This window comes from Homo sapiens, assembly GCF_000001405.40.
Source record: "Homo sapiens chromosome 14 unlocalized genomic scaffold, GRCh38.p14 Primary Assembly HSCHR14_CTG3_UNLOCALIZED".
NCBI classification, from domain to species: domain Eukaryota; kingdom Metazoa; phylum Chordata; class Mammalia; order Primates; family Hominidae; genus Homo; species Homo sapiens.
The window spans coordinates 183,248-194,050 of NT_187377.1; the positions used below are offsets into that span (position 1 = coordinate 183,248).

Sequence of the window (10,803 nt, forward strand, 5' to 3'; positions counted from 1 at the left end):
ATGACGTCACCAGCACAGGGCGGCGGGAAGGGCTCTTTGCGCATGTGCCACCCCGCCTATGCACGCCATCTTCCGCCAGAGAATCCCGGCTCCTGCTGCAATGGAGAGGCTGCTCTGGAAGCTCTGGCATTGGGGTCTTCATCCCTGCAGGTTGGTGGCAGGATGAAACAGGAGACAGCGGGCTTGGAGGCACCATAGGGAGGCGGGGCTGACGTGCCACAGTTGGTGGGAGCAGAGGCGTGGGCACATCTCAGGGGACGGGGCCTGACGCACAGGTGCGGGCCGCGGACCCAGGCTGGGGCTGAAAGGGTGGCGCTGCTGGGAGGGCGGGCGTGGGATCCCAGTACTGAAGCCAGTTCCAGAGACACCGGAGTGGGTGGGTGAAGCCGGTGGCGCAGGGACGGGGTCTGCAGGCTGGCCGAGCCTGGGAGGTCTGCGGGGAGGCTGCGCTCTGGCACTGCATGGACCTTGTGTGGCATTCCGTGCACGCCCTTGTAAGGTCAGCATACGGACAGTTGTAGGGAGATGCCCCTCATTCCCAGACGAGGAGTACGAAGTGCGTGCACACAATCCTACTACCTGGCGAGTGTATTAGTAGGGTTTCCCGGTGTGTTTTCAGCAAGTGAAGATTCTGCTTGTGTCACCTTCCTACGCATCCCATCCCCGCTTTAGTTTATAGGAGTTTATACAAGATCTGGTTTCTAGGGAAGTTGGGGGTCCTAGATGATGGTCCTGTTTTCTTTGTAATAAAGTAGGTGTTACAAAGTTTCGAGGTGGGCGCCTTTTAGGAATCCCACCAAAAAGAACACCTCTTTGGACTAACCCTCTCACTGGTACTTCAAAGCAGAGGAGGTGTCACAGGTGAAGATTCCAGTTTGTATGACCCAAGCAGTTATTTTCCCACTCCCCAGAATGGCCCAGATTTGGTTGATAAGACCTTATCCAATAGCTCTCAAACACTGGGTGGTAGTGGAAGGTTTAGACCAACATTCAGAAGGAAGAGGGGAGTTTGGCTGTGAATGACAGGCAAGGGCCAAAGAGATGTTACTTGTTGGAGGGGACTTAATAGTTTGGTCTTCGGTGGAAAAATATCCTGTTATACTTGAGAGGATCTGTCTGGAGTACTCTGTAAAGACACTTTCATTCCTTCAACCTTTTCTCACTGTTTCCAGTGGCTGAACTTTCTTAAAAGTAGTCTAGGCCAAGGCAGGAGGATCACCTGAGGTCAGCAGTTCGACACCAGCCTGGCCAACATATAGTGAAACCTTGTCTCTACTAAAAAATACAAAAATTACCTGAGTGTGGTGGTGCACACCTGTATAGTCCCAGCTACTTGGGAAACTCAAGCAAGAAAATCACTTGTACTGGGGAGGCGGAGGTTGCAGTGAGCCGAGATTGTGCCACCCTACACTAGCCTGGGCAACAGAGTGAGACTCTGTCTCTCAAAAAAAAAAAAAAGTTCTGTCACGAAATTTAGCGTCCAGTCACTAAATTTAGCATTCAGTGATATGCTGAAGCTCCCTCTAACCTGGTAGCTTTTCCTGGTAGTTCAGTAAGGGTTAGCCAAACTATTTCTACCTTGTGAGAATGATGGAAAAAATTTGGCTTTGAGGAGCTGTGACTTGCCAGGGTCACATGATATACAGATGTTATGCATCCTGACTTTTTGGCTAGTGTTATTCATTTTGCCCCAATTAAGTCAAAACTTTTTTTTTTTTTAGATTTTTGTTGACACTGAAGTCAACTAAGAACAAATATTGCTTTAAAGTACTTTCTCAGCCCCTCCCTGCCTGCCCACCCCTCACGCTGGAAAAAATAATAATAAAGTACTTTCCCTTGCCGGGCGTAGTATCTCACAGCTATAATCATAGCACTTTGGGAGGCCAAGACAGGAGGATCGCTTGTGCCCAGGAGTTTGAGACTGGCCTTGGCCACATAGGGAGACCCAATGTGCTTACAAAAAAAAAAAAAAATTTTAGCTGGTTGTGGTGGCATCCATTTGTGGCCCCAACTACTTGGGGGGCTGAGGTGGGAAGATCACTTGAGCCCAGGAGGGTGAAGTTACAGTGAGCTGTGGTTGTGCCACTGCACTCCAGCCTGGGTGACAGAATGAGACTCTGTCTCAAAACCAACCAACCAACCAAGCAGAAACATTTCCTTAACCATCTCTGTTCCTTTTTATCCCCAACTCTTTCTGTGAATTATGTGACCTCAAGGACAAATAACAAGTGTTTCCTGCTCAGTGTCAGTAATCTGTTCTTGGAAATTATAAATTCTGTAGGAAAACAATAGCATATTTTACATACTTAAAAAGGGAATATTAGACAGTGTCTCACTTCTATTCCAACCAGTATCTTAAAATGTAAGTAAAATACCGTACAATGCTCACTCGTAAGAGATCCTTTTTGTGTATTATGTTTTTTTAAAGTCAACAGACATTTTTATGATGTAAAGAACTTTAAAACACAATTTACTAATATGCAAAGAGTAGCTTTTTATGATTAACATGGTCTCTTAGAACCAGCAGTCTCACTGATTTCCATCAAGTTGGCATTTATTGTGATTTGCAAAACTTCTACATGAGGTTGTGACGTTCTAGTGATTGTATTTGACAAGTAATTTCACATTATCTCCTTCACATGATTTTCTTAAAAACATTGAGTTCTGGTGGCTTAGGTGTATCAGTTACTGTTTTCTGTCTAAAGAACTAACGAAACTCAATGGCTTAAAAAGAAGTGACCATTTTATTTGATAGAAGTTCTGTTGATTCACATTTTAGCTTGTGTTCACCTGGGCATTTCCTTTGCTAATGTTGTCTGGATCACAAATGAGGCTTTAGTCATCTGGTGCCTTCACTCACATGTCTGGTGGTTCATGCTGACACTTGTCCAAGAAGGCAAGCACCAGTGGGCAAGTACTTTTCCAACCTATATTTTCATCATATTTTCTATGTCCCATTGGCCGAAGCAACTCAAATGGCAGAACCCCATTCATTATCAGAGCACACTCTATGAAGTCTTAGATACTGGGAGACTTGTCACTAAGAAACATTACTAAAACAGTATATCCCAAGAAATATACACTATGTACATTTTTCCCCCTATATAATCGTGGGCAGAAAATGTTGGGCTGCAAGATGCATTCTTTCAATGATGCTTAGAGATATAAAAGATGCATCCTTTCTATGATGCATAGGTATATAAGAGATGCATCCTTTCGATGATGAGTAGGTATATAAAAGATGCATCCTTTCAGTGATGCTTAGGTATATAAAACATACATCCTTTCAATAATAAGTAGATATATAAAAGATGCATCCTTTCAACGATGCTTAGGTATATAAAAGATTCATCCTTTCAATGATGTGTAAGTGTATGAAAGATGCATACTTTCAATGATACTTAAGTATATAAAAGATGCATACTTTCAATAATGCTTAGGTATATAAAAGATGCATCCTTTCAATGATGCTTAGGTATATAAAAGATGCGTCCTTTCAATGATGCTTAGGTATATAAAAGATGCATCCTTTCAATGATGTGCAGGTATATAAAAGATGCATCCTTTCAATGATGCGTAGGTATATAAAAGATGCATCTTTTCAATGATGCGTAGGTATATAAAAGATGCATCCTTTCAATGATGCTTAGGTATATAAAAGATGCATCCTTTCAGTGATACGTAGATATATAAAACATGAATCCTTTCAATGATGCGAAGGTATAAAAGCAAGATATATTCTAGTGGAAACACCTATATGGAATCATGTAGAATCTCCATATTAGTAGTGAAATTGTTAATGCAGCTGAATTATATTTCTACAGTATTAATTTCATTGAAGACTAAATGTATATTTCTTTGGTTTAAGTTATTACATTGTTTCTTTGGATAAATTAATTGTCCCTAAATCAGTAGGTAATACATGTTTTCATTAATCCCAAAATAAATTGTATGTATCTCTACTAATTAATGTACTTGTGGGTACATTTTCAGTGGCATATTTGTTGTCCCTTATTGAGGCATGAATGACTATTCTGTCACAGGGAGGTTTTGTTGTTGTTTTAGTCTTTTCCAGCTATTGTGTAGAGCGTTTTGGGCAAGAGAATCTAGGACCAAGCCACACCGGTTCTCTGCTTTAACCCACTCCATTCGACTGTTCTCCCAGCTATGTTTCCAGAGTGCTCTGTGCATTTCCACAATCAACAAAAGATGAACAAATCTCTTGTGAGTCATTTGTTTATATATTCCTCTCTTTGTTTTACATTGTATTTTTTGCCTTTATGGAGTCCACGGATTAAAATGAAAAAATAGAAATAAGTAAAATTCACGTCAAAGGAAATGCACATAAATAAAATAATGCTGGCATGTAGACATATGCAGGTTATAAGCCATGGAACTGGAGTACAAATGTGTCTCTGGTCTTTCTGATGCTGCAACAAAAAGGCAGTCACGTTTGTTACATGATTGGAATGGAACCTGGAAGGAGTGCATGCTGCATTCTCATGGGACAGGAAGACTTGCTGTCACCAAAGTCTGGAACACTGACTGCATTGGTCACAGAGATGATGTAGTGAAAAGTTTTTTTTACTGCCAACCTGGAAATAAATACTTTTAGCATTTTGCAGTAGAAAGAGTCACTTAGTGCTAAAGCATAACTCCCGTAATGAGGTTTTTCTGGAGTTGCTAAAACTTTGCAGTCCCAGACAGCTTTTGGAAGGCCCTACTTGATTCATGGCTAAAACCTAGAACATCTGGAGGATTGAGTTGACCACAGGTCCTTAACTAACCCCCCATACGTTTCTGTCAATTCATCTATACATGGAGAATTTATAGCAGATTGTTCACAATTGTATTTTCTGACAAATATGTCCACTATTCACTTGCACTTTCATTCAGTGTAGTCTTAATTGGTTTATTCTAATGCTCACCATTAACCTAAATTATATGCAACTCCAATGGCTATTCTCCAGTCTGCCTTACTTGAATCTTATGCCGTACAGTAATCCCCCTTATCCACAGTTTTGCTTTCTGTGGTTTCAGTTCCCTGTAGTCAACTGTAGACAGAAAAGACAATAAGATATTTTGAATATCTTGAATATTTTATTATTTTGAATGTGTTGAATACAGTAGAATAAGATATTTTGAGAGACCACATTCCTATAACTTTTAGTATAGTATGTTGTTCCATTTTATTGTTGTTAATATCATACTGTGCCTAATTTATAAATTAAACTGTCAAGGGTATGTATATATAGGAAAAAACATAGTGTATATAAGGTTTGGTACTATACACAGTTTCACGGATCTGCTAGGGGACCTGGAATGTATCCCCCATGGATAAAGGGGGACTCCTGCATTTCAAATTATTGTTCATGATCTTCTCCTGGAAATCTTCTGTGTTAGTTTCTATCATGACCTCACTGATGCTGCTTGTCTTTTTTTCCTGAATTCTTCTACTTCTTCTTTACATAGCTTATCCAATTGTTTCATCCAATTCCCCACCCATCCCACTGTGCAGTTCTTTTTTTGTTGTTGTTTGTTTGTTTGTTTGTTTTTTTTTTACCAGTTCTGCTCTCTGTGGTGTAGCAGTTGTGTTTATCTCCAGCATGGACTTCTCCGACCTTTAGACCAGGGATCCCCAACCCCCAGGCCATGGACCGGTCCAGTCTGTGGCCTGTGAGGAACTGGGCTGCACAGCAGGAAGTGAATGTCAGGCAAGCAAACATTACTGCCTGCACTCTGCCTCCTGTCAGATGAATGGCAGCATTAAATTCTCATAGGAGCATGAACCCTATTGTGAACTATGCATGTGAGGGATTTAGGTTGCCTGCTCCTTATGATAATCTAATGCCTGATGAACAGCTTCATCCCAAAACCATCCCCCCTCACACCCTGGTATATGGAAAAAATTTTTCACAAAACCTGGTGCCAAAAAGGTTGGGTATCACTGCTCTAGACCACAGGTTCAACTCTCCATTAAATGATTCTTTGTAGCTATCCGAAAGGCACTTCAAGCTTAACAAATCTAAAATAAAATTACAACCTTCTCTCTTCCTTTACACACGGTTTTAGATTACAGAGTAATTAGCTTCTACCTCTCAATAAAAGGAATAGTGAGAATCTGTAGCAGTCTTTAATAAACCACAGTTTTCCCTCTGGCTACAAATTATTTACATTCCTCCCACATGCAAAATATACTTACCTGTAGAGGTAAGTATTCACCCATGGAACTGTCACCACAAACAGTGCAATAAACAACTTTTGCCTCCACGAAATTCTCCCTCCCCCCCTCCCCGCCCCTTTTGGGATGCAACCATTTGACATAACATATATTCTCTGCATAAGTCCGTTCTCTCATTGCTATAAAAAACTACCTCGGACTGGGTAATTTATAAAAAAAGTGGATTAATTGGCTCACAGTTCCACAGGCTGTACAGGAAGCATGGTTGGGGAGGCCTCAGGAAACTTACAGTTATGGTGTAAGATGAAGGGGAAGCAGGCACGTTCTATGTATCTGGAGCAGAAGTGAGTGGTGAAAGGGGAGGTGCTGTACACCTTTAACAACCAGATCTCATGAGAATTTACTAACACGAGAACAGCAAGGGGCAAGTCTGCCCCTTGATCCAGTCACCTCCCACCAGGCCCCTCCTCCAGCCTTGAGGCTTAGAATTTGACATGAGATTTGGGCAAGTAAACAGATTGAAACCATACCATCCTCTTAACAAATTTTTAAATATGCAATTCCGTATTAACTACATGCTTTGATCTGTAGATTCCATATTTAGAACTTACTCATTGCATAACTAAAACTTATACTCTGTGACAAATACCTCCCCAGTTACCCTTCCCTCTCAGCCCTTGGTAACCACGATTCAGCTCTATGTCTTTGTAAGTTTAACTGTTTTACATTTTTATATACATGGAGTTCCACAGGCTGTACAGGAAGTATGGCTTCATTTGTGCTGGAACAACAAAATACTTCAGGCTTGGTATTTAATAAAGAACAGAAATTTATTCTTAACAGTTCTGGAGGCTGGGAAGTCCAAGATCAAGGCACTGTCATCTGGTGCCTGACGAGAGACTTCATCCTGCATCCTTACATGGTGGAAGGCAAAAGAGTGTCAGTGAATGAATGCACTCCCAGTCCATTCGAGAGGGAAGAGCCCTCACCTCATCACTCCCCTGAAGCCTCACCTTCTAATACTATCACCTTGGTGATTAGATTTCAACATAGGAATTTGAGGGGAATACATACATCCTGACTATTGCAGATGGGATTATGTAATACTTTGTTCCTGTTTTGCTTATTTCTTAGCACAATATCTTTCTGGTATGTGCATGTTTTGGCAAATGGCAAGATTTTCTTCCTTTTTAAGGCTGAGTAATATTTCATTGCATGTATAGACCACATTTTCTTTATACATTCATTATTATTGAGAGTTCTTATTACAAATGGGGAAGTGGTTTTTAATATTGATTTAATTTTTATTATTAAAACATTTTTAGATGGTTAAATTCTTTTTAAAAATAAATATACTTTATTAGTTAAGGCAGTTTTAATTTCACAGCAGAATTAAGAAGTACATAGATTTCCCATATACTGTGATCCACATATATATGTAGCCTTCGCCCTTTTCAAAACCTCCCCCCACCATAGTAGTACCTTTGTTAAAATGAGGAACCTACATTGAGACATCACAGTTGTCCAAAGGCCATAGTTTACATTAGGGTTTACTCTTGTGGTTTTACATGCTATGGGTTTGAGTAAATGTATAATGACATGTATCCAGTCTTATAGTACCTCACAGAACACTTTGTTCTAAAAGTCATCCCTGCTCTTCCTGTTTATTACTCATCATCCTCCTAACCCTGCAAACCATCTCCATCATTTTGCAGAATGTTACATAGTTGCAGTTATATAGTAAGTAGCATTTTCAGACTGCCTTATTTTACTTAGTAATATGCATTTAAGGTTCCTCCTTATCTTTTGAGGACAAGATAGCCCATTTCTTTTTAGTGCTGAATTATGTTCCATTGTGTGTACCATAGTTTATTCATTCACTTACTGAAGGACATCTTGGTTGCTTCCAAATTTTAGTTATTTTGAATAAAGCTGCTATAAATTTCTGTTTACAGGTTTTTATGCTAGTGTTTATTGTCACCTCCTTTGGGTAAATACCAAGAGGTGCAGTTGCTGGATCATATGGTAAGAATATGTTTACTTTTGTAAGAACAACCAAATTGTCCGCCAACTGAGTGACTGTACCATTTTGCATTTCCACAATCTGAATGAGAGTTCCTGTTGCTCTGCATTCTCACTGTCAGTTGTTGTCAGTGCTCTTTATTATGGCCATTCTACTAGGTATGTAGCGGTATCTCATTGTTTTAATATGTTACCCTAATGTTACACAATATAATGCATTCTTTTATATGTTTATTTCCTATATGTTTCTCATCATTGGTGAGGTATCTGTTAAGGTTTTTGGTCTATTTTATTAGGTGGTTTTCTTACTGTAGAGTTTTAAGAGTTTTTGGAGTATTTTATGTGACAGCCTTTTTATCAGATGTGAGTTTTAAGAGTTTTTGGATTGTTTTGTGTAACAGTCTCTTTATCAGATGTGAGTTTTAAGAGTTTTTGTAATGTTTTGTGTAACAGTCTCTTTCTCAGATGTTTTGTATAACAGTCTCTTTCTCAGATGTTTTGTGTAACAGTCTCTTTATCAGATGTTTTGTATAACAGTCTTTCTCAGAAGTTTTGTAGAACGGTCTCTTTCTCAGATGTTTTGTGTAAGTCTCTTTATCAGATGTTTTGTAGAACAGTCCCTTTCTCAGGTGTGTCTTTTGCAAATATTTTCTCCCAATCTGTGGCTTTTCTTCTCATTTTCATGACATTGGCTTTTGCAGAACAGAAGTTTTCAATTTTAATGAAGTCTTGTTTATGAATCATTTTAAAATGGATCTTGACATTGGTGTTATATCTAAAAAGTCATTACCTTTCCCAGGATAATCTAAGTTTTTTCCTTTGTTATTTTCTACAGTTATAACTTTCGCATTTTACATTGAAGTCTGTGACCCATTTTGAGTTAATTTTTGTGATGGGCATAAGATCTATGTCTAGATTCAGGTTTTTTTTTTTTAATGTGGATTTCTAGTTGTCCCCATGCCATTTGTTGAAAACAGCAACTTTGCTTTATTGTATCAGTTTAGTGTATTTAGGTGGGTGTATTTCTGGGCTATTTATCCTGTTCCATTGTTATTTTTGCCTACTTTTGGGTAATAACACAGTGTTTTGATTAATGAATAAGGCTTAAAGTTAGGCAGTGTTTGTCTTCCAACTTTGTTCTTCAGTGATTGACTATTCTTGGCCTTTTGCTTCTCCATGTGAACTTTAGAATCAGGTTTACTTTTATTTTGCTTATTAAGGTGTTATTGTATTCCTCATATAGATCTTGTTACATTTGCTAAATTTATACGTTAAGTGTTTCATCTGTTGGGTGCTAAATATAAGTAGTACTGTGTTTTCATAGCAAATTGCACTTGGTTGTTGTTGGTGCATTGGAAAGTGATTGACTTTCTCTTTTAATCTTGTATTCTGTGATCTTGCTTTTCAGTTCCAGGAGGGTTTTTTTTTCGGTTTGGTCGTTTTTCTTTTTTCTTTCTTTTTTTTTAAATTTTTTAGATTTTCTGCATAGACAATCCTGTCATCTGTGAACAAAGTTTTATTTATTCCTTCCCAATCTATATGCCTTTAATTGTATTTTCTTGACTCATTGCATTAGCTAGTATTTTCAGTATGATATTGAAAGGGATGCTGAGAGAATACATCTTTTTCTTCCTCCTGATATTGTGGAAAAGCTTTGAGTTTCTCATTATTAATTATGATGTTTGCTGTAGTTTTCTGTAGATATTCTTTATTAATTTCAGGAAGTTCCCCTCTTAGCTTATTGAGAGATTTTATCATGAATGAATGCTGGATTTTGTCAACTGCTTTTTGTGCACCTGATCATGTGATTTTTCCTTTTCACTCTCTTGATGTAATGAATTACATTAATTGATGTTCAAATGTTGAACCAGCCTGCTATCTCCAGAATAAATCCCACTTGGTGATGGTGTATGATTCTTTCTATATATTGTTGGATTCGATGTACTAGTGTTTTTGAGGATTTTTGTATGTATTTTCATGAGAGATAATGGTCTGTGGTTTTCTATTTTGAAATGTCTTTGGAATAATTCTGGCCTCACATAATGAACTAGGAAGCATTCCAACAGCCTCTATCATCTGAAATAGATTGTGGGGAATGGGTATAATTTCTTCCTGAAATATTTGGTCAATTTCCCAATGAATACATCCCGATCAGGTACTTTCTGTTTTGAAGGTTATTAAAATAATAGGTTATTCGGATTGTGTGTTTCTTCTTGTGTGAGTTTCAGTAAATTGTGTCTGTCAAGGAAGCGGTCCATTTGAACTAGATGATCAGATGTGTGCACAGAGTTGTTCATAGTATTTCCTCATTATCCGTTTAATGTCCACAGGATGTGTAGTGGTATCCCCTCTTTCATTTCTGATATTATTAGTTTCTGTCCTTTTTTTTCTTAGCCTGGCTCTAGGGTTTTAAATTTTATTGAAGAACCAGCTTTTTAAAAAAGCAGCTTTGTTGTTAATAATATTTTAAAAGAATCAGCTTTGTTGTTAATAATATTCTCTTGATTTTTCTGTTTTCAATTTCATTGATTTCTGCAACAATTTATTTTCCTATTCTTACTTTGGGTTTAATCTGCTCCTTTTTTCCTTTATTTTAGATC

General features: G+C 38.4%; 1 long non-coding RNA gene across 1 annotated transcript; it reads left to right on the forward strand.

Annotated features, from left to right (window-relative positions):
* The first annotated feature begins 24 nt into the window (after window positions 1-24).
* Window positions 25-4,627, forward strand: LOC124905323 (uncharacterized). Its single transcript, XR_007068535.1, has 2 exons — window positions 25-150; window positions 4,066-4,627. It is a non-coding gene; the product is annotated as an uncharacterized LOC124905323 (long non-coding RNA).
* The last annotated feature ends 6,176 nt before the right edge of the window (window positions 4,628-10,803 follow it).